General features: G+C 43.0%; 1 protein-coding gene across 27 annotated transcripts in view, besides 3 other annotated features; it reads left to right on the forward strand.

Moving 5' to 3' along the window:
* SLC36A1 (solute carrier family 36 member 1) overlaps positions 1–24122 on the forward strand; it is a 211490-nt gene that overhangs the window by 101209 nt on the left and 86159 nt on the right. For 5 of the 27 annotated variants that reach the window (XM_047416925.1, XM_011537595.3, XM_047416920.1 and 2 more), the window contains exons 1-6: positions 8305–13131; positions 17749–17839; positions 18710–18798; positions 19270–19365; positions 21395–21479; positions 21903–22121. In XM_047416925.1, the coding sequence (XP_047272881.1) occupies positions 12896–13131; positions 17749–17839; positions 18710–18798; positions 19270–19365; positions 21395–21479; positions 21903–22121 (816 nt within the window). In that variant the 5' untranslated portion in view covers positions 8305–12895. The other 22 variants (XM_017009217.2, NM_078483.4, NM_001308150.2 and 19 more) reach the window with 18 other exon arrangements.
* Positions 1779–1828: an enhancer, noted in NCBI's record as "active region_23457". NCBI's record gives its function as "activates an Ori minimal core promoter by ATAC-STARR-seq in GM12878 lymphoblastoid cells {active_cell/tissue: GM12878}" and the evidence as "EXISTENCE:reporter gene assay evidence [ECO:0000049][PMID:35858748]".
* Positions 6232–6401: an enhancer, noted in NCBI's record as "experimental_82502 CRE fragment used in MPRA reporter constructs". NCBI's record gives its function as "activates a minimal promoter by MPRAs in K562 erythroleukemia cells, with activity observed for the non-introgressed 5:150831682 or rs117862811 variant allele {active_cell/tissue: K562}" and the evidence as "EXISTENCE:reporter gene assay evidence [ECO:0000049][PMID:34662402]".
* Position 6317: a transcriptional cis regulatory region, noted in NCBI's record as "Neanderthal adaptively introgressed variant 5:150831682 (GRCh37/hg19 assembly coordinates) or rs117862811 in the experimental_82502 CRE". NCBI's record gives its function as "modulates activity of the experimental_82502 enhancer by MPRAs in K562 erythroleukemia cells {active_cell/tissue: K562}" and the evidence as "EXISTENCE:reporter gene assay evidence [ECO:0000049][PMID:34662402]".

The following is a 24122-nucleotide window of genomic DNA, read 5'->3' on the forward strand; positions in this document are numbered from 1 at the left end:
TCTTTTTATTTCTGAAGCTTCTGTTGTAGTGTCTTCACTTTCATTTTTTATTTTATTAGTCTTCTTTTTTTTCTTAGACTAGCAAAGGGTACGTCAATTTAATTTTTTCCAAAAAATCAACTCTAGTTTTATTGATTTTGTCTGTTTTTTTTTCTGTTGTCTATTTGATTTATTTCTGTTCTGCTCTTTCTTTTCTTCTTTTAACTTTGGGTCTTGTGAGCTCTTCTTTTTCCAGTTTCCTGAGGTATAATGTTAAACTATTTAATTGGTCTCTTTCTTCTCTTTTAATGTAGGCATTTATTGCTATAAACTTCTCTCTTAGAACTACTTTTGCTGCATTCCATAAGCTTTGGTATGTTATGTTTCCATTGTCAATTGTCTGAAAATATTTTTTAAATTTCCCGTTTGATTTCATCTTTGACCCACTGGTTGTTTCGAAGCATAGGACTGGGTATGGTGGCTCACACCTATAATCTCAGCACTTTGGGAGGCCGAGGTGGGCAGATCACCTGAGGTCAGGAGTTTGAGACCAGCCTGACCAACATGGTGAACCTCGTCTCTACTAAAAATACAAAATTAGTCGCGCGTGGTGGCACGTGCCTGTAATCCCAGCTACTTGGGAGGCTGAGACAGGAGAATCGCTTGAATCCAGGAGGCAGAGGTTGCAGTGAGCCAAGATTGCACCACTGCACTCCAGATGGGGCAATAAGAGCGCAACTTTGTCTCAAAGAAAAAAAAAAGCGTGTTGTTTAATTTCCACATATTTGTGAATTTTCCAAGATTCCTCCTGTCATTGATTTCTAGCTTCATATTATTATGGTCTGAAAGAATATTAATATGATTTCAATCTTCTTAAATTTAAGGCTTGTTTTTTGGACTAGCATATGGTCTATTCTAGAGAATGTTTCAAGTGTGTTAGAGAAAAAATGTGTATTCTGTTTCTGTTGAATGGAAAGTTCTGTATATATCTGTTAGGTTCATTTGGTTTAAAGTGCAATTCAAGTTCATTATTTCCTTATTTTCTCTCTAGTTGCTCTATCCATTGTTGAAAGTGGGATATTGACCCTCCTACTATTGTGTTGCTATCTATTTCTCCCTTCATGGCCATTAATATTAGTTGTATGTATTTAGGTGCTCCAATTTTGCATGCATATATATTTACAGTTGTGTCTTCTTGATGAATTGACCCCTTTATTATTAAACAATGATCTTCTCTGTCTCTTGTGACAGTTTTTGACTTGAAGCCTATTTGTTACATAATTGTTAAAGGAAAAGTCTGTAACAAGGAGGTAAAAGGAGAAGCCTAGATAATACAATACTGAAATGTTGCCATCCATTTAAAAATGTTACTTTAAAAATTTGAATGTATTAAAAGATAATGTTGCCCTACCCCACAGTTCCATTTCCAGTAGCAACCACAGATGATAGTTTGTGTATGCTTCTGAAAAATTGGAAGTTTTAAAAATATGCATATTTCTTATTATAAAAGCAATACAAACTCATCGAGATGTGTAAAAGAAAATACAGCCAGTGTAAAAATTAGCAATATTTCACAAACCCACAACTCAAGGGACAGTGCTCTTCGACTGGACTCTGCCCCATGCCCAAGATCAATGCCCTGTTCAGTTCCTATTCGCAGTCCCCAGCGCCCAGGAACATAGTCCTTCCAGCAGTGGCAGTAATAGGTCGCCAGGTGGTGCTGTGGAGCAGAGCTCCGGAGCTCAGTGAGAAAAAAGGCGCGGCCGCTCAAGGGAGCACGTGACCTCGGCCTCTGGCGTGGGCGGTGGGATCACGTGATGAGGTCCGGAAGCGGCTGCCGGGCAGCAAAGGAGGATGGCGAGGGGCTGATACTGAACCCGGGAAGGGTGGGCTGTGCTGAAGCCAGAGCCGGAGCCGGAGCTGGGGCCAGAACCCGAGCAGTGAGTTCCTCCACTGGCTGCCGGCTGGCGGCGCTCGCCGCCTTGGGCAGGACCCACCTCGCCTTCCTCCCGGCGTGGCAGATGCTCCAGGTCAGGCACTGGATCCGCCCGGGCTGTGGGTCCGCGACTCCTTGGCGTCCCCGGGCCGCAGCTGCGGTACGACGCTGACACCCCTCTGTGAATTGGGCGAAGCGTGGAGATCCCTTGTCCCTCGCGCTATCTCCCTTGACCTCGTGGGGTTGGGATCTCACCGTCCTGTTTGACTGACAGGTGGGGGAAACTGGGGTAGATGGTGAAGATAACCCAAAGGACCATCTAGGGCGTCTTTCACGCTTCGCACAGGTCTCCCCGTTTCCAGCAAATGTCTTGCCCGCTGCGGGAGCGCTGCTTGAGACAGGCTCATAATGGGTCTTTGGGTCAGAACTGCAAGGACGCTGGGAAGTCGTCTGGTGCAGCTCCCTCCTAGGACAGTTGGAGAAACTGAGCCCTTACTCCGGGAAGGGGTAAGGGCTTGCCTAAGGTCATCCAGTGAGTTAATCGGAGACCCGGAGACCTGCGACTAGAATGCAAATGTTCCTAAGCTTCAGCAGCTGTTTGCTTTTCGCCACACCGCCTCCTGCGGGAAACTTCACCTGTGAAAAGGCACTCCTTTCTGTCCCTTTCTCTTTTAGTCCTCTCCCTTTTTAGCTGTCTGCATTTTCCACCGCTGGGGTTGGATTTGCTCTGGGTGTGGTTCCCTGTTTGTTCATTATTTTTCTGCAAACTCATCCTTCTGTAGGTTTGGTTTCTAACCTTCCTGCATTCTATGTAAGTCACACCAAAATATGAAATATGAATCGGAATGTGCTTCTGGGAAGATAGGTGGCTGAGCCGAGGTTGTGGAGAGCCCTGACGTTAACTTGAAGAATGTAAAGACCTTTGCTTTATTTTTTCTGTAACTTGTCAGATTTGGGATTGCTTATTTGGATGGACGTTTTGCAGTTATTTGAATTTTGCTGAAGATAGCATCATGGTGCAATGGACAGAACAGAGATTGGGGAATCAGGATATTTTGTCCTAGCTCTGCCGCTTACCTGGCAACCTTAAGTGACTCGCGTTTGGGTTTCTCAGTCTAGACAGTGATGGAATTGAATTCTTAAGGGCCCCTTCTGCTGTGATCTGGATGTTGTGCATCTTTCTAGGCTTGTTTTTTTGTTTGTTTGTTTTTAAATAGAGATGAGGTCTCACTATGCTGCCCAGGCTGATCTCAAACTCCTGGGCTCAAGTGATCCTCCCACCTTGGCCTCCCAAAGTATTGCGATTACAGGGGTGTGAGCCAGTGCCCCTGACCAGGGTCTGTTTGTTTTTTTATTCCGAGAGATTTTACCCGCTGTGTACACTGAGTATCAGCCTTGCAACAAGACTTAATCTAATTGTGTAGGAAGCAGTTTCCTCTGCTTATTCCTCTGTTGCTATAAAATCCTCCTCCTCTTTCTTCCTATCTCTGTATTATGTCTAAGCTAAATACTAACAGCTGAAAATGATTTTTAACTGTCTGTTATTATTTTAAACATGATCAGGGCCCTCTTCTGACTCTTGTCTAGAGCCTCGTTTACAGTAATTAACTTACTTGTACATTTAGAACATGTTTTCGTTAAAAATGTTCTTGAAGTCAAGTGGAAAGGGACAAACTTTGTGTTTGTCTGGGGATGGAGGCTACGTGCAGCAGAGGCTGTGCTGATAACAGCTTTAAGCCTCTCCCTTTGTTTTCTGATTGTATCGTTTATATTCGCCTGCTCTGGAGTCCTTGTTTTCCCTTTAAGGCATGTAGCTGTTCATTCAGCCTCCTCTTGTGGCAGTTCGAAGTGCTCAGAGTTTTCTCTGTTCCAAAGGCGGTGTAAGAAAAAGGGATTCCATTTATTTTATAATATTCTGGAGACTACAACTGGGACCAATAGATGAAAGTGCCATAAGGGAAGGGTGTTTGGTAAGTGTTAAAAACTTTCAAAGAATTAGTGGTCTCCTGTATTAGAACACTGAGCACGGAGCTCCCTGTCACTGGAGGTAATCGTCTCTGGGCAATTACTTCGGGGATGTTGTAGATGAAATTAGATTGTTGGGTAGAGGGTTGGACTAGACAAAATTTTAAGTTTTCTTTCAACTCAAGAGTCTGTGACATTCTAGGACTGGACTTACTAGCATGTAGAGTGGATGGAGCAGATGTCCACTTACTAGCATGTGGGATGGATGGAGCAGATGTCCACTTATTACTAGCATGTGGGATGGATGGAGCAGGTGTCCACTTAGTGGCATGTAGAGTGGATGGAGCAGATGTCTGCTTACTAGCATGTGGGATGAATGGAGCCGATGTCCACTTACTGGCATGTAGAGTGGATGGAGCAGATGTCCACTTATTAGCATGTGGGATGGATGGAGCCGATGTCCACTTACTAGCATGTAAAGTGGATGGAGCAGATGTCCGCTTACTAGCACGTAGAGTGGACGGAGCAGATGTCCACTTACTAGCATGTGGGATGGATGGAGCTGATGTCCACTTACTAGCATGTGGGATGGATGGAGCTGATGTCCACTTACTAGCATGTGGGATGGACGGAGCCGGTGTCCACTTACTAGCATGTGGGATGGACGGAGCCGGTGTCCACTTACTAGCATGTGGGATGGATGGGGCAGGTGTCCACTTACTAGCATGTAGAGTGGATGGAGCAGATGTCCACTTACTAGCATGTAGAGTGGATGGAGCAGATGTCCACTTACTAGCATGTGGGATGGACGGAACTGGTGTCCACTTAACTAGCATGTGGGATGGATGGAGCCGATGTCCACTTACTAGCATGTGGGATGGATGGAGCAGATGTCCACTTACTGGCATGTAGAGTGGATGGAGCTGATGTCCAGTTTTGTGATTACTTTGTTTCTATTTATAACCTTGTCTCAGGTAACTATTCTCATATTAAGTACTCCTGCTTTTTCTTTCTTTTTATCACCACCACCTCCCCTCCAGTGAGTATCTCAGTTCTTTAAATGCTTGATATCGCTTCAAAGGTCAGATGAGTGAATAGTCTTCTGTTTCTGCTTTTCCTGGCCTGGTGCTGATAACCGCTTCCAAAGTGCATGACTGATTAGCATTACTCACACCTAGGCCAGCTTTTCTCTTTTTCCCATAGAGGAACTCACATGGAATCCGTTTATTTCCATCCAGGCCTTCTCTTGTTTCCCATAGAAGAAGCTCTCACTGAGTCTGTTTACTTCCACCCAGGCCTTGGAAGAATCCTGTACCTCTCTCCTTTGGCCAGGCCTTACTGTGATGAGCACATAAAGGTAGCCTCTACTTAATGGGCATGGGGGCCGATGGATGGGGCATTGTAAATAGGCTGAAATAGGAACCACACGGTGCTGCATTTGGGGTTGTCTCTTCTTTTATCCCCCAAAATATTTCTCTTGGAAGCCTTGACACCCAGGGCCAGTTCTTTTTTTACTTATTATTTATTTTATTTTATTATTATTATTTTTTTGGAGATGAGGTCTCACTATTTTGTCCACGCTGGTCTTGAACTCCTGAGCTCAAGCAGTCCTCCCACCTTGGCCTCCCAAAGTGCCGGGATTACAGATGTGAGCCACCATGCTTGGCCCCAGGGCTAGTCCTTAATGACCATCTCTAGTAGGAAAAGCCACTCTGTGCTTTCCTTTTCCATGAAGTTAGGAAATCTGTCTGTGGGTTACTGAGATGTTCATGTCACTTAGATCACCATCTCCAAGGTAGGGACCTGGCTTCACAATCCAGAGTTTTAAATGGAGCCCATACTGCAGACTTTGTTTAGTGAACTTTCTCACTTTCTGTCCTTGAACTTCTCTGTAGTAATAATCACAATTGCTATCATTAATGAGGGTTTATTATGTTCCAGGCAACATATCTAACATTTATTTATTTTTTCCTCCTATCTTCATAACAATATTGTGATGTAGATGTTATTAATGACATCTTTCAGATGAGGAGACTGTGGCAAAGGGAGATGAATTAACTTGCTCAGAGTCACACTACCAGACTGCAAACTCAGGTGCTTTTTATTATGCAGAATACCCGCTGCAGACCTAATCCTGCCCCAGGCTCTGGGGCCAGCTTTGTTCGCAGGGAGATTTTAAGGAGGGTATATAATTTAAGGTGTGGTAGAAAGAATACTGGACTGGGATGCTGGTTTGCTGGACTGTCATCTCAAATCTTTGATTTGACTCATCCTGGGGCCTGGATGAGTCAGCCTTTGTGTGTGGGCCCTGGTTTTCTGACCCCTAAGAAGGAAGCTGGAGCTTGACCTTCTCTAAAGCTATACCTGGCCCTAACATTTAGTGATCTTCATGGTTGGGAGTAAAAGTGTGCGTGTTTGCCTGTTCAGCAGCTGCTTTGTGCAGAACCTGCTGAGGTCAGCAGCTGCCCTGTAGCTGTTCTAGCATCAGACTCCTACAGGAAAAAGTCTCAATTTATGGAATGTTCTGCTCTGGTAAGTTGGATGGAATTCTATCTGATGCTGTTTTAAAAACAAATTATGTAGAAGCCAAACCATTTTACTTCCCTCACTGTAGACCACACATAGCAACACAGTCTGTGTCTTTGTTCATGTTTTTAGAATTCCATCGACAGAGAGGAGAAAATACATCTGGGGAATTTGCCGCTGCTCTGAGTTCCAAAGTCCAAACCAATGTAATTGTTTCAGAATAACGGATGACACTTTTAGCTTGCAAACAAGGGGCGCCAATGCGTGAATTCTGGTAGGAGGTGAGGCCTAGGGTGTACCTATCATAATAAGATCATATATTTTTTGTAGTGCTTTATATAAATCTACCTATAATCAAGATTACCTAGGAAGCTAGTTAAAAATAAAACGCCTCTTGCCTGTAATCCCATCACTTTGAGAGGCTGAGACAGGTGGATCCCTTGAGGTCAAGAGTTTGAGACCAGCCTGGCCAACACGGAGAAACTCCATCTCTACTAAAAACACAAAAAATTATCTGGGCATGGTGATGGACGCCTGTAATCCCAGCCACTCGGGAGGCTGAGGCAGGAGAATCGCTTGAACCCAGGAGGCGGAGGTTGCAGTGAGCCAAGATCACACCATTGCACTCCAGCCTGGGCAACAGAGGGAGACACCATCTCAAAAAAAAAAAAAGAAGACAAAAAGACAAAAACAACAACAAAAAAACATAGGCTGGGCATGGTGACTCATGCCTGTAATCCCAGCACTTTGGGAGGCCAAGGTGGGTGGACCACCTGAGGTCAAGAGTTTGACACCAGCCTGGCCAACATGATGAAACCCCGTCTCTACTAAAAATAGAAAAAAATTAGCCAGTTGTGGTGGCGCATGTCCGTAATCCCAGCTACTCGGGAGGCTAAGACAGGAGAATTGCTTGAACCTGGGAGGCGGAGGTTGCAGCGAGCCAAGATCGCACCACTGCACTCCAGCCTGGGCAACAAGAATGAAACTCCATCTCCAATAAATAAATTAAAATAAATAAATAAAATAAAATAAAATAAAATGCTAAGGTGGAATCAAGTTGGGCCCAGAAATCTATTTTTTTTTCCTTGACGTATGTTTCATTTAACCCAATATATCCCAGATATTATCATTGCAATATATAATCAGTATAAAGATTATTAATTCATGGGATATTTCACAATTTTTTTGTTACCAGTTCATTGAAATCTAGTGTGCACATTTCAATTTTACCCAAGTGTATTTCAAGTGTAAGATAGCTATTTATGGCTAGTGGTTACTGTACTGGATGGTACAACTTCAGAATATGTTACCATCTATTGATCTTAATCCTCCTTTATTTTGAACAAACCCAGTCACTAAAAAATTGAAATTGGAATCCTGAAACTTTAGAAGTGAAAGTGTACTTAGAAATCATCTAATGCAGTTTTCTCAATTCTATATCAAAATAAGAAAACAACTTTGGGATTAGAATGACAGCCAGATTATGTTCTCCTGAGTCCTGAATCCCATGCTGTTAAAATGGGAACATTAGCATTTGAATTTATTAGAAAAATTTCTGGCCTTGCCTTAAAAAAAAAAAATCACTGTAGAATTCCCCTTAAAATTGCCCACTTCTGAAAAATTTAACACCTACAAATTTTTATTTTTAAAAATAGAATAAAATTTATTTTATTTTTAAAAATAAAAATTCAGTTTGCACATACATTTTCCATATTGCATCCGTTGCACAAAGTGATTCCACCTGCTCATTTTTAGTGCCCATCTAAAAATGGCATATTTTGTAGATTGAAGAGCAACACTTGTCTATTTATACAGCTAAAACAATAGTTACATAAGGAAAAAAAAGGAATGTTTTAAGGTTTGTACACTTAAATTTTTTTTTTTTTTTTTTTTTTTTGGCCATCAAACTTGCAGACTTTTTTTACTCAGTTGCTCACTCTTCTGAGTCTAAATATCTAATGGAGATTTGGACTTTGTGTTCTGTTTATTGTCCTCAGTAATCTGAAGGACAAGCTTGCCTTCAACTCTCACATAGTACAACCCTCATTTAGACAGTTAACAGGTACTATTAAAATCTCCCATAGGGCGGGAACTGGCAATTGCAGCAATAGACTTGGCTATCAGATTTCATCAAAGGGAGCCTAAGGGCAGTGTGGCCATGGATGCCAGCACTCATGGGGACAGACAGAGAGCAGGAGGAGGAGGCCTTGGTTTCCAAAAAGAGCCATAGAAAGAACTCCGGGGAGTGGCTCTGCCCACTGTCTGATGCTTGAATCCTTACATAACTGCTCTGAGAAAGGGCTTTTGCTTGGATTTTTTCAGGGATAAGGGAACAGGCTTTCTCCCAGAGTGATCTGTTCTATTTGGAACAGATCTGTCTTTGATAGAAAGTTCTTCCTTACACCTAGCAAAAAATCAGCCCTCTTGACTCTCCACGTACTGATCCTAGCCCTGCCTGACCTTTGAGGCCCCAAATAACAAGTCTAATCCATGTGACAGCTTTTTTTTTTTTTTTTTTTTGAGACGGAGTCTCGCTCTGTCGCCCAGGCTGGAGTGCAGTGGCGCGATCTCGGCTCACTGCAAGCTCCGCCTCCCGGGTTCACACCATTCTCCTGCCTCAGCCTCCCGAGTAGCTGGGACTACAGGCGCCCGCTACCACGCCCGGCTAATTTTTTGTATTTTTAGTAGAGACGGCTTTTAAAGACAGTTTTTGTACCCCTCAAGTTGCTAGGTGGAACCTTCTCAGTGCTTTCAACCATTCCTCATTTAGTTGGTTTCCTACCCCTCTTGATCCTAGTTCTGACCCCTGGATATACCACAATTTGTCATTATCCCCTTTATAGCATGCTGCCTGGAAGAGAACACATTATCTGGCAATTCTGAGTTGTGTAACATGTACCCATGTGTAACATCTAGCATGTAGAGTGGATGGAGCAGATGTCCACTTACTGGCCTGTAGAGTGGATGGAGCCGAGGTCCACTTACTAGCATGTGGGATGGATGGAGCCGATGTCTACCCATGATTCTCTCATGTCCTAATGCAACCTAGAATTGTGTTGGTTTATTTGGCATCTTGGATTATATTATTGCCTTCTGTTGAGCTTATCATCAACCAGAACTCCCAAGCAGAATTTTTTTTTTCTGTTTTCAATATGCATGCAGTTGCTTAGCCACATCTTCCATATCCCGCAGGCTTATTGGACCTTAAATCTATAGATTTCAGCTTCTTGTTGAGAAGTTTTCTTAGCAATATTCTGCTGTGGGTAACTTCAGTTTTTATACACAACATAAAGAAGTCTCTCTGCAGTGTTTGAGATAAATTGAACATCTGTACCAAGTAGACAACAGAGAGGTTTCTCGGTTGCTAGGGAAGGATTGGGCAATTAATAAGTCCCTGTATTCCATCCTTTCACCTTCAGTAATATATAGGTGTCAACCTAAAGGAAGAAGTTGAGACACAAAATGCAATTTTTAACAGTTTACTTGAACTGTTTACTTGAACCAAGTGAGGACAGCTGCCCGGGACACACTTCCAAGTTGCCTGGGGGAGTGCGTCCTTCGGCCTTTGTTACCACAGATTCTTAAAGGCAAAAGCGAACAAGGAGAGGACTGATACAAAGTGACTTGACAGGAATTCTCATCAGTTTACAGAAATAGCATGGATTATTGATGGGCTGTACATTGTTGGACTATAGGGTATGAGTTATGATGTCCAGTGTTAGCATTTTATGACTTAGTGGTGTCAGTTAGTCTAGAACCCACATAGCAAGTGGCTTCAAGAGGTAATTATTTAACTCAAGGGGGGAGTGACACATGACTGCTCTCACATTTTAGTGCCTCTCTGGACCCGTAATTTAAAGGGATTCCTCAGATAAAAAGTTTCTTTTCTTTCTCACAAGATTCACTTGGAAGGTTCTATCTTCAGATGCTTTTGGTTTGTTGGAAGGGACTAGAAATTGGCAGCTTTTTCTTTTTTTCAGTAGAGGCAGGGTCTCACTATGGTGCCCAGGCTGGTCTTGAACTCCTGGGCCCAAGTGATCCTCCCACCTCAGCCTCCCCAAATGCTGGGATTACAGGTGTGAGACACTGCACTCAGCTGCTGTTTGCATAAATAATTATGTTCATTGACACCTAGAATATTAGTGCTAGAGGGAGTTGAGAGATATTTTAGTTTATGCCCCATGCTTTTTGCACATTTGAAAATGGTTCACAGGTACTAAGCAAACTGTTGACAGAGGTAGGCTTGGCGCCTGGGCCTCCTGACATACCTGTAAACTGATTTACGAGCTTATACCTGTATAGCAAGAGGTTACAATGCTGGTATTAAGATACTTCAGAGATTTTTTTTTTCTCCCGGCCCTCTAGTGAGTTTAATTGCCCCAGAGCTGGTTGGCGTCCTTGAATTCCTCTAGCTCATGAGTAAATGAAGCTCTCATAGATTTTTAGCCAAGTGGCTCTGGCAATGAAGCTAGGCAGGATCGTCTCTGGGATTTCCAGGTCCTTTGCTGGCATTTTGCCAGGTACTTCCCTTGTGAGATAGCTTGGGGGTCCTTCCTACATTGCAATTGTTGAGAGAAAATGCGATCTCCCGTGGATCTCTCTGGTGCCAGACTGGGGTGTTTCCAAAGGAGTACCCTGGCACTGGACCTAAGGAGAGCCTTCGGCGGAGCACCATCCTCTGGCAGGTGGTGCTGGGTGTCGGGGCAGGGTGGGGTGCTGTGGCAGCAGTTGGAGGTCCTGTCTCCTCTCAAGGTAGCTGAGATAGAGTGCCCAGGCTTAAGGTGGGCATCCAGCCACATGCCGGAGGACAGTCTGACGGGCAAGTAGCTGTGCCAGTCTGCCAAGTGTCGGGAGGATTTTTGTCATTTTTTATATTAATGTACCCTTTTTTTGTCACTTGGTTCTTGAAGAGCAGGAAGTTGACTCTTTCACTGTGCTGTAATACTCTCTCATAGCAACTGGGACTCTGTAGAGTGGTTGTTTTCAGATTCTGACAGGGGTCAGGAGATAACGTTTTCTGCTTGGTACTACCTAGCTGTTGCAGGGCAGGTTACTTCATCTTTTAGCATTGATTCTTCATCTTTAAAGTAAGGGGCTTAGAGTGACCTGTGAAGGCTCATTTAGCAATGGTCTCTAGGATTCTAGGGGCCTACATCGCTCCCAAAATGTGTCCTTATTGTGTATCTTTAAGAAGCCCTTGCTCTTCTCTTTTGTGTAGTATTAATAGTATTCCTGAGTAAATCCACCCAGGGGACACCACTCTCACCACCCTCCCAACACATTGAAAGGACATTTTTTTCTCTCACCATTTTAAAAATGAGCACATCTATAAAAATAAAAAGGAAGAAGAGTTGTGGATGGGAGATGTTGAGACGAGGGCCAGGGTGAGCACCTTTCAGTTTCCTGGTCCTCCTCTGAGCTGCTTTCAGCTACCATTTCTCAGTACTCAGGTTGGCAGCAAGAAAGGAGTCCCAGGGTCAGGGTATAAGAGTTACTGGTGGCCTCCAGAGAGTATAGGATCAGCCTGTGGTCACAGCAGAGAGAAAGAGAACGGCATGTGTGGCTCTGGGATTTGGTGGGAGTTTCAGCAGAATTGGATGATCCAGAGGGGATTTCTGTTTTCTTTTTTTTTGTTGTTTGTTTGTTTTTTTTTTTGAGATGGAGTTTCGCTCTTGTCGCCCAGGCTGGAGTGCAATGGCACGATCTCGGCTCACCACAACCTCCGCCTCCCGGTTTCAAGCGATTCTCCTGCCTCAGCCTCCCGAGTAGCTGGGATTACAGGCATGCACCACCACGCCCGGCTAATTTTGTATTTTTAGTAGAGACGGGGTTTCTCCATGTTACTCAGGCTGGTCTTGAACTCCGGACCTCAGGTGATCCGCCCGCCTTGGCCTCCCAAAGTGCTGGGGTTGCAGGCGTGAGCCACCACACCCAGCCCAGAGAGGATTTCTTGAGTGAAATGTGTTCTCTATTGAAGGCAGAGGAAAAAGAGTATACGATGAGAAATACCCAGATTTCCATCCCCCCAAGAGCTTGTACATATATATATATACGTGTGTATATGTGTATACGTGTATATATATACATACACGTGTATATACGTATATATATATATATATATATGGGATATTTATATATATATATATACACACACGATTGAACTATTGCACAAGGTCCAAGACATTATCTCAGAAAGGAGTAGATAATCCTGACCTAAGGAATAGGGAATGCGGAATTCCAGGAAGCACTTCTCTTTCATTTTCCCCCACTCCTCCCAAGCAGTGCCTCACTTCTGCCTTGTCTAGCTGTACTCCGGAAAATTAAGAAATTTATGAGTGTAGCACCACGTATACCAATGGGAAGGATGGGAGTCAGAAGTCAAGTGAACTCAGCCCGCCTCTGTGTACTTTGCACTTTTCCATTTCCCTTGGTACCAGGCACTTTCATACTTAATCCATAGTGGAGCTGTCACAGTGAGCAACTCTGACAATGACAGCTTCTACCCCAGAGGCCACCCCAAATATGGAGCTAAAGGCTCCAGCTGCAGGAGGTCTTAATGCTGGCCCTGTCCCCCCAGCTGCCATGTCCACGCAGAGACTTCGGAATGAAGACTACCACGACTACAGCTCCACGGACGTGAGCCCTGAGGAGAGCCCGTCGGAAGGCCTCAACAACCTCTCCTCCCCGGGCTCCTACCAGCGCTTTGGTCAAAGCAATAGCACAACGTGAGTAGCTGTTACCTTCTCCTCTCCTGGGTGGGATTCGTGTTCCTAAGCCTCCCTTGGACTTATTTTTCCCCCCAATTTCATCAGTCCTCCACTTTACAGATGAAGGTCAGCAGTGAAGAGATTGGGCGAGTGACTGCGCTGAGATTTGCCTTCCTGGGCTGCCACTCTCTAGGCAGTTTCTTACTCTTTTTTCCTTTCAGCTGTGTTGGCCCCCCAAGGCTGGTGCCAAGTGAGAGCTTGGACTTAAAAAAAGCTTCTACAGAGGACATTCTTTTAATTTAAAAGTGTGTCATCTGTGCTAGAACCCCAAATAATTTCCAAGCATAATCGGAAGCTTCCTTTGCAAAGTCTCCCCCCGAATTCTGCCCCATCACCAAATCAGTATTCATTTGACTGAAGAAGTGGGAAGAGAGAAGAATTAACTTCTGCACTTAAAAAATTCAGGGTTGGTAGGAAAGGAAAGATAGACTTTGCATTCTCCAAAGAGGGCTTAATCTCTTGTCTCCAGAAACTGGGACCCCAGACTCATTTGGGCTGAGTTTGGCCCGCTTCAGGTCTCACTTTCCCCAAATGTAAAGAAAAATTGAGGACTCCACCACAAAGCTATGCTGGCTGTGTGGGGCTCACCACTTGAATTAGAAAATTCAGAGGAAGTTTTGCTACTCCATTGAGTTAGTTTCCCAGCTACTCCTGATTTCAGCAGACCTCTGACTTTTCTCTGTGTCCCAGCATCTCAGCTTTTGCAGTCCTGTTTATTCCTCAAGCTTAGCTATTACCTTTTCTGTGTTTTCTTGTGGACTGAGTGTGACTTACTGAGAGATCCTTCATGTCCTAGACTTATGCCATTCCTGATGACTGCCCAAGCGGACCATGGAAGCTTCTGGGCTCATCACTGGAGAAGCTCCCTCTGCCTGCACTGTCTGCTGGTACAGGGCATTTTCTCTTGCGAACTGGGGTGGAACTAGAAGAATGTCTGTCCACATTCCTGGCCCGTCACCACCACTAGCTGATTTCTATGCCTCAGGCTGGAAGTACTCAACCAGTCCTCTAAGATTCTGTTTCTGTAGCTTATTTCTCAGGGGTATGCTTTTGTAGATTCCCCATTAGCCTGCAGTGGGAGTTAGCTGGTGGTAGATTGCTTAGAGCACAGCTGGCAGCAGTGTGGATCACCCTGCCCCTCTTTCCTCCAACCTTATCAGCATTGGCAGCCCCCATGCAGAAGCATCTCCACACACAGCCAATGGCATGTGATGGCTTCCCTTCAGAGGTCATGCTTGTTATCGTAAGATACTTCTAAGCTTCCTTCTCTGTAGTTTCCTTTGCAGTTTTTGCTCCTTTTTGATCTCAGATATCAACTTGTCTAAGCAATATTTAGCAGATGAGGTCTGGATTTTTATGTTTATAGAGACATCTCTGAAGCTCAAAACCTACCAACTAGCAACTTTAGGATAGTAGCTCATAGGTTTTGGACAAAATTATGTCCTTGTTTCTTGGAAATCGAACAAATCAGAAGATACCTTCCTCAGGCTTGTATTGTGACATTTTCCAGGGTATACTTTGTTCCGAGTTTCCCTTCCTGCCTTGATGTTGTGATACAGTGTAGGTGACCAGGGAAGCCTATCTGTAGTTGATGGCAGGTATTACAGTCCCATCACAGGTGGTACAAGATAAAGTAATTTGCTGGGGCTTAGAGGACTGGTTGAGTACTTCCAGCCTGGGGCATAGGATCCACGCAAGGATTTATATAGAAAACATGCCAGGTATGATTAAGGTAGAGGTTGATTTGGAGGACCTTCTTAACCTAAATTAATATTTTAATATGTCGGAAGTGTTAGAGACAAGTTTTTGAGCTGGGTTCCTTTTATATTTCTGGTTTGCCCCACCCTTTTATCTAGTTTGCCAAGGAACAAAATACATGGAAGTACTTCTACACCTACTGCACATATGCATGCACACACCTGGCTCTTCTAGAAGTCAAGGGCTCAGCAAAAACCCCTAGTTAGGGGGTGCAAATAGGAACCCCAAACACTTCCATGAGTTTCATGGGTTACTTCCTTTTATTTTTTTGAGACAGGGTCTTGCTCTGTTGTCCAGGCTGGAGTGCACTGGCACAATCATGGCTCACTGCAACCTCCATCTCCTGGGCTCAAGTGATCCTCCCACCTTAGTTTCCTAAGTAGCTGAGACTACAGGCATGCTCCTGGCTACTTTTTGTATTTTTTTTTTTTTTTTTGTAGAGATAGGGTTTTGCTATGTTGCCCACTTAGTCTTAAACACCTGGGCTCAAGTGATCCGCCTGCCTCGGCCTCCCAAAGTGCTTGGATTATAGGCATGAGCACCATGCCTGACCTGTGAATTATTTCTTAGTGTGTTCAGTGAGGTTATTTACTAACACTTGATGTTACCAAGCTATTGACTGCTTCGAAGACAGCCTCATTTTATGCTGTTGGGCAGATTTTTCTTCTTGTTGCCCCTCTGAGTTCCATTATATATATCAAGCCTCCGTGCTTCTTCCCCATGCAAACTGAAACCAGCAGACTGAAACTGGCTCTCTAAAGGTGAGCTGGAGTAGTCATTTGCAAAATGTGGTCTGCACACTTTGTGGGCTTCCCAAGACCATTTCAAGAAGTCTATGAGGCTAAAACTCTCTTCATAATAATACTAAGATGTTATCTGCTTTTTCACTTGTGGATATTTGCACTTATAATGTAGAAGCAATGGTGGGTAAAATTACACTGTAGAACGAATCAAGGCAGTGGCACCAAATTATACTAGTTGTCGTTGTATTTTTCACTGCCACACATGCGCAAAGAAAAAAGCCCTTTGCACTTAATAATGTCTTTGATGAAACTGTAGGATTACTAATATTTAAAAATTTGAGACCCTTCAGTATAGGTCTTTAATATTCTGTGTGGCAAAATGGGAAGTATGCATGAAGTACTTCTATGAGTACCAAAATATGTTACTTGTCTTAAGGCAAAGACCTCGAGTGATTATATGAGTTGTCAACCAAACTTGCTGCCTTTTTTTTTTTTCATAGAACTAGAAAGAACAACTAACAAACTGTAGGTCATTCAGACCTGAGTACTTGTAAGACATTTTCTTGAAAATGAAAGAAATCAGCCCATCACCTCAAGGAAAACAATAGATAATACATATCTGTTGCCCAGAATAAAATTCAAGCTTTCAAGCAAAATTAGGAAAAAAAACCAACTTGTATCCAGTACCATGAGCTTGATAGCCCCTCTACTTGAAGACTTTTCTGATGAGATTAGTGGTGATATTAACAAATATGACTTTTTGATATTATTAATATACAATGAAGATGTTAACATTTGGAAGATCTGTGTAAACTCAACCAAAGTATGATGTTAGGAATTCTGCATGGGTAAAAGATCCATTGAAAGAGCAAGATCACCAATGGATTTTTTTTTTCTTTTTTTTTTGAGACAGTCTTGCTCTGTCACCCAGGCTGGAGTGCAGTGGCACAATCTTGGCTCACTGCAACCTCTGCCTCCCGGATTCAAGCGATTCTTCTGCCTCAGCCTCCCGAGTAGCTGGGATTACAGGTGCCTGCCACCACGCCCAGCTAATTTTTATATTTTTAGTAGAGACGGGGTTTCACCATGTTGGCCAGGATAGTCTCAATCTCTTGACCTCATGATCTGCCCGCCTTGGCCTCCCAAAGTGCTGGGATTACAGGCATGAGCCACTGCACCTGGCCTGACTTTTTTTTTTTTTTAAATACTAAATGTATCAGGGACTTCTGGCCTCTTATGGTGTGGTGTGACTTTTATGCTGTTCACTTTGTATCTTTCTGTTACAGGGTTTGGGGCTTCTGTTATTATTATTATTATTTTTTAATTTCCTCTGTTCTCTTACCAGTGTTTGTCCGTCATTGTTTGGTTTGTCATCCTCTGTTGCAGTTTTGGGATCTGAGTCTTTTTTTTTTTTTGAGATGGAGTCTCCCTCTATTGCCTAGGCTGGAGTACAGTGGCACGATCTTAACTCACTGCAACCTCTGCCTCCCGGGTTCAAGCAATTCTCCTACCTTAACCTCCTGAGAAGCTGGGATTACAGGCACATGCCGCTATGCCTGGCTAATTTCTGTATTTTTAGTAGAGACGGGGTTTCGCCTTGTTGGCCAGGCTGGTCTCGAACTCCTGACCTCAGGTGATCCACCGCTTCGGCCTCCCAAAGTAGTGGGATTATAGGCATGAGCCACTGTGCCTGGCCAGGTCTGAGCCTTTACAGTGGTCAGTTCAGTGGTTAGAACCAGACCCAAATACACTTGGAAAGGATAGAGTGTCTGAAGAGAGTTGGAGCACCCCTCTGGTCTAATCTCTGAGAGAAGGGATTCTCAGAAATGTCAGAGAGTGGAGACTTACAGCACAGTGGATAAGAGGGGGAGCTCTGGAGTCAGACTGCCCAAATTTGAATCCTGCCCCAGCCCTTTACTAGGTATGTGACCTTGAGCAAACTGCTTCATCATCTATAAGATAAAATCTTACAGGGTTGTTGTGGAAATAAAATAAGATAATGCATATAAGCACTGAGATCCTAATAAAAGTTAACTGTCATGGTTATCATTTCCTTGGCTGTCTTCCACTTCAGATGGTTCCAGACCTTGATCCACCTGTTAAAAGGCAACATTGGCACAGGACTCCTGGGACTCCCTCTGGCGGTGAAAAATGCAGGCATCGTGGTAAGGGTCTGCATCAGTGGAGAGGAGTGGTGACAAATTTTAGGAGGTAGCTTTTTGTTGTTGTTAAAATGTACTTGCTTTAAAACATTTTAAATAGAGAAGCATTTTAAAAAAATCAGTTGACAAAAAGCGGAATTCAGACATTCATTCACTTAAAGATATTTATTGAGAGTGTTCTGTGCGTTAGGCACTGTTCTAAGCTCTTAGAATACATCAGTGAATTAAATATTCCTGCCCTCATGGAGCTTACTTCATGGTGGAGAGGATGTACTGAGATGGCTCGAGCAGTTTCTGTCAATAATATGAACTAATGAGTTAGTTACAGATGTCTGCCCATTTTCTACAGTCTCCCATGCCCTGTTCCTAAATGGCCAACTGCAAGAATCTTATGTCTTCTTTTTGTGATTTACCTCCAGTTGACTGCCTGCCCAAAGCCATTCTGGTTTCTTTCGGAGTTGAAGAGAGACTCAGAGATGTGGGTTGCCCTTAGCTAAGTGCAGTCTTTCTTGATCTGGCATTGCTGTAAAGATAACTTACCCGTCTCACCTCACATCCCTTAGCCCAGCTCTTCCCACAGTCACAGGAGCCTTCTATTCTGCTGATGTGCACCAGTCTTGGAACAGACTTATCTTATGTCCTTCTTCTCCACGTGACTAAATCTCTCGAAAATGTGCTAAAGTTCAGATAACACCCATCTCACAGAGCTAATCTCCATGATCACGTTTCTCTCTCTAATGCTGGGCCCAAAGTTTTGTCACTGAAAACTGCCTTAGTAGCTTTTTAATCCTTTGTGAACTGAGTATCCATTGGGTTCACTCCTAATTCTACCTACTTTTCTCTCTCTCTTTTGCCTGCAATATCTGTCCCCAGATGGGTCCCATCAGCCTGCTGATCATAGGCATCGTGGCCGTGCACTGCATGGGTATCCTGGTGAAATGTGCTCACCACTTCTGCCGCAGGTGAGAGCCCTCTGAGCCACCTCTCAAGTGACAGATTGTCCTTTTGGGTTCTGTTATCAACCCTGAAAATGAGCACTGATGCAGACCACTCTCAATTCTTTACACTGGCTGGAGGTAGCAGCTTATGATTGCAGCGTTTTCCTTTCCCTGGTTATTTTTGCGTTCTTTTCTGGCTCATTATCATCTGTTAAATTTACTTATGCCCAGTGGGTACTACATTCTAATTTCATGGGCGTTGTAATATTTACCCCATTGAAATGATTCTACCAGATGGTTGTTAATTATAATAAAAGTAACCATCCTGTCGACTGAATACTTCTGATCTTTGAAAGCACGAGATACAGGACTCAGAGTGGTACCTCCAGGGTGAAAGATGGGAACTGGCCCAGGTCTCAGTGGCTCTTTTTGTTCTGTCATTGTCATTGTCTAATCCACGTGCTCTGTCCTTCCTCTTCCCTCCTACTCTTCCAGGCTGAATAAATCCTTTGTGGATTATGGTGATACTGTGATGTATGGACTAGAATCCAGCCCCTGCTCCTGGCTCCGGAACCACGCACACTGGGGAAGGTAACTGATTTCCTCCTTCCTTTCAACTGTGGCCTCCCAGTGTGAGGCCTTCAGATGGGGAGGTGCAACGTGGGAGACAGTGTAAAGCGTGGAAAGAGTGCTGTTTGGGTCAGTTGCCTTGGGCTGTGGCTCAGCTCTGCTGGTAGTAAGCTGTGTGACCTGGGGCTGGGTAACCCCTTTTTTCCTTGGGTTTTAGTTTTCTTATCAGGAAAGCATGGGGCCTGGCCTGAATGGTCTCTAGAGCCATTCCAGCTTTGGCGGTCTATGACCAGTGATTGTTTTTGATTCACTCATTTGTTCAACAAATGTATTTAAGCACTATCTTATAAATGGAACAAAACAGTTCTAGGTAAGAAGGGAAGATTTCCTGAAGTAAATTATGTGGTTCCTACCCTCCAGAGGCTTGTAGTCTGTGTAAGGAAAAAGAAATGTGGGAAGAGAAGCCGGGGAACAAGATAAGAGACCAGTAGTGGGAGACACCCATAAGAAGAAAGTGTCATGAGCTAGGAGTACACCCTCAGTGCTCAGAGAGAGAGGAACTTTAAAGATTCTCTTGTCGGCTGTGCCAGATGAGAAACGCACATGAGAGATAGGAGCAAAGAAGGCTTCAGGAGAAGGTGAGATAAACTAGAGCAGGGTGTGGAGATGAGTTTGGAGGTGGGAAGTATTTGCAAATTTCTCGTTATGGTAACTCTTCAGTGTTTGGAGGGAAATATTATGTTTGTTTTCTACATTTAAATGTAGGAAATTGATACTATCAAGGGCTAAAAATTCTTAAAAAAAAAAAAAGAACCACATTAAAACTATGTTCTCTAGAAAAGTTCCTTTTTGTTGTCATAGAGGAAACTTACTTTCATTCATAGTCACCTTTATCCTGTGATGCAGATTATATAGTTCTTTTGGCCAAATTATTTTCTGTAACTGGGAGAAGCTAGATTGCCAGGTGACCACCATGAGTTGGGTGGTTGTTAATTCTTCCTTCCATTCTTTCTTACTACTTCCTTTCTTCCGCCCTCCTTCCCTCCTTTCCTTCCTTCCTTTTAATAAAATGTGTGCTATTTTAATGCGTGCTCATAGTAAAAACTTTGTTTTGATCAAGATAGGACATAAAGTAAAAAGTGAAAGAAAATTTTGGTCACAGTTGCATGGGTAGCCTTTTGGAATTTGCTGTATAAGTAGAAACATACACATGTTCTTAAAGTTTTTTGCACAGATTGACCATACTATGTATACTGTTTGGAAACTTGCTTTTTCCCCTTAAACGTCTGAGACGTTTTTCTCTATCAGCACATAGAGATTTAACACATTCTTTTTAACTGCTGTGTAATGTTCCATTTAAGAACGGTCTATAATTTAATCACTCTGCTTTTGATGATCCTTTAGGTTGTTACCAGCTGCTATTGTTCAACCAGCAGTCTGTTTTTGGTACATCAGTTTCTGTGTCCTTAATGTGGGACTTGGTTGGTTCTTATATCCAAGTTATAGAGACAGTGAAGGGGACTATTTCCTTGTGTTTTATGTCAAGGGCTCCCTGTAACTAACAAAAAAGTGTGAGATGGGATAGGTGGGCAGATGTGTAGAGAGGATGCTAAGGGGCTGGGCAGTGGTCATGGTGTCTGTGCATGTGTCTCACCTCATGCAGCATTCCAGACGAGAAGCCAGGAAGGGGACGTCGGAAACCACACAGATAGCACCTCCCTCACCTTCTTCCCAATGCCCCAGACCAGTGGCACCTAGCATGGTTTCTTCTCCTGCCAGGGCATCTCGTCCTTGTCACTGCCAGGAAGGGTCTGTGATGGCTTGGGGAAAAGCACTGTTAAAAAAACACTTAATGGGCACAATGTACACTGTTTGGGTGATGGGTACACTAAACGCCCAGGCACTACCACTATGCAGTATATCCATTTAACAAAACAGCACTTGTACTCCCTAAATCTATTAAAAAACAAAAACAAAAAACACCTCCCCTTCTGGGAGCATTGCATTTGTATTGTAACAGTCTTTGTATTCCTTCCTTCCCCACCTCCAGACGTGTTGTGGACTTCTTCCTGATTGTCACCCAGCTGGGATTCTGCTGTGTCTATTTTGTGTTTCTGGCTGACAACTTTAAACAGGTAGGCACCTGGTTAAAAAAGAAAAAAAAAAAAAAAACCAGAGCGAGAATGGCAAAAGATGATTGAAGTTTTTGTTTAGGATTTTTTCCAAATCAGCTTTTGTCAACAAAAGAGTTAAAGTTTTCATATTTTACATAGATCTACGTCTTCTATTTGATTCCCATGGAAAGAGCTCGGGCATAGAGAAACCGCCACATGTCTTGTCGACCCTCCTGTCCTAGGTACATATGATCAAACCTAGCTCAGACAATTGGGTTGCTGATGATAGTCGTGAAGTTCTCTAAAGATGGCTCACTGGCCACAGATTCTAAAAGGCCTTGTTCACACACCTGAGCCTTTCCTCAGGAACCTCTTCCAGCAGAGGATCCACCGGCCTCTGTTGTTTGAGAGGTGTTTCCGTTTTCTTCCTTCCCCTCATTCTAGGTGATAGAAGCGGCCAATGGGACCACCAATAACTGCCACAACAATGAGACGGTGATTCTGACGCCTACCATGGACTCGCGACTCTACATGCTCTCCTTCCTGCCCTTCCTGGTGCTGCTGGTTTTCATCAGGAACCTCCGAGCCCTGTCCATCTTCTCCCTGTTGGCCAACATCACCATGCTGGTCAGCTTGGTCATGATCTACCAGTTCATTGTTCAGGTACATGCCTAGGCCCTCTCCTATCATCTTGGTTCAATATTTTAAAAAAGCCAGGCGTGGTAGCTCATGCCTGTAATCCCAGCACTTTGGGAGGTGGGGGCGGGTGGATCACCTGAGATCAGGAGTTTGAGACCAGCCTGGCCGTCATGGTGAAACCTGTCTCTACTAGTAAAAATAGAAAAATTAGGCATGGGGGTGTGGGCCTAATCTCAGCTATTTGGGAGGCTGAGGCAGGAGAATCGCTTGAACCTGGGAGGCGAAGGTTGCAGTGAGCTGAGATCATGCTACTGCACTCCGACCTGGGCAACAGAGCAAGACTCTGTCTCAAAAAAAAAAAAAAAATATATATATATATATATATATATATATTTTATATATATATATTTACATATATGTGTATATGTTATTATATTTTATATATATTACATGTATATTTTACATATACATGTAATATATATTATGTACATGCATAATATATATTATATAATGTATGTAATATTTATATATTGTGTATATATATACATAATATATATATGTAAGTGGAATGTAAATAGTTATATGTTACTACTGGTATGTCTAGATTAGAGGTTCTGTTCTTGGGCCCTGTTGACATTTTGGGATGGATAAATTCTTTGCTATGGGGCTGTCCTGTGCATTGTGGGGTGTTTAGCAGCATCTCTGGTCTCTACTCATTAGGTACCAGTAGCGATCCCTCCATGAGTTATGACAACCAAAAATGTCTCCAGACATTGCCAAACCTTCCTGGGGGGCAAAATCGCCCCCCCACCCAGGGGGCACTGGTTTAGACTTTTTTCAATTAGATGGTTAATTCATGATCATTGTATACAGTTGGAAAATAGAGGAAAATGTTAAGATTAAAATAAAAAATAATTTTTCTAACCTGTATTTAGATAAGTAATTCCTTATCAACTCCAGTTAATTTTTATTTGTCAAAATTATAAATTCACTTGTTCCTTGCCCTCACTTAACCCATGCAGGCAAGTCTGTGGGGTGGCATGAGAGAGAACATCTGTATACAGATGGGTAGAAAATCAGGCTGAGAAAAATGTGCCCTTAAACACTATGGCTGTTTGTGAAAATGAGAATGCATTTTCTAAGGCTTGAGAAAAGGAAAAAAGTAAAAGCGGGTAAATAAAAGCATAACTTAAAAAAAAAAATACTTAAATTCAGTTCCCCAAATAATTCATCAGTACATATTCATTAAAATGCAGACAACACAAATACCTCTTGAATACCATGTCCCCACCCCGAGTCTCCTCTCAGGGACCCGCTGTATGTGATTGGTCTGTCTCATTCTAGATCCTGTGAATGGATTTACAGCCCATGTAAGTATATTGAGAAATACATTGAAATATATTTTGTTTTCATTTTTGAAACATAATTTTTTAAAGTTACATGTTCATCTACCTTGCTTTTTTCCACCTTAAAAATGCCTTAGTGAGCCTTCCAGGTTAGTATTCCTGGCTCTACCTTGTTGTTGTTAGTTGTCACATTGTATCACAGCAAGGAGATTTGCTGCCATTTATTTAACAAGTCCTCACTCAGTGGCTATCAGGCCATGGATAATTTTTAGTATTATTTCAGTATTAAGACAGTGAGATGTTCTTATACATTCCTTTTTGTGGACTTGTATAAATACTTAAGATATTTGTCTAGATGTGTAATTGCTGAAGAGTGTGCACTTTTGAATTTTTGTTATGTTACCAAGTTGTTTTTTCCAAAAGCTATTTCCTAATTTCATAGAGACTCCCTTCCACAGTATTTAAGTGCCCATTTTTCCATCCTTACTAATACTGGATGTATTAGTATTATTTATATTAGTATTCTTGATATATGTATGATATATTAGTATTTATATATAGTATAATTATATTAGTATTATTTTGGTCAGTCTGACAGGTGAATATTATCTCATTTTCATACAGTCTGCTTAACAGTGACCCAGTCACCCACTGATATAGTTTCCAGGAAGACAGTGGC

Source organism: Homo sapiens, chromosome 5 (assembly GCF_000001405.40).
Source record: "Homo sapiens chromosome 5, GRCh38.p14 Primary Assembly".
In the NCBI taxonomy this organism is placed as follows: Eukaryota; Metazoa; Chordata; class Mammalia; order Primates; family Hominidae; genus Homo; species Homo sapiens.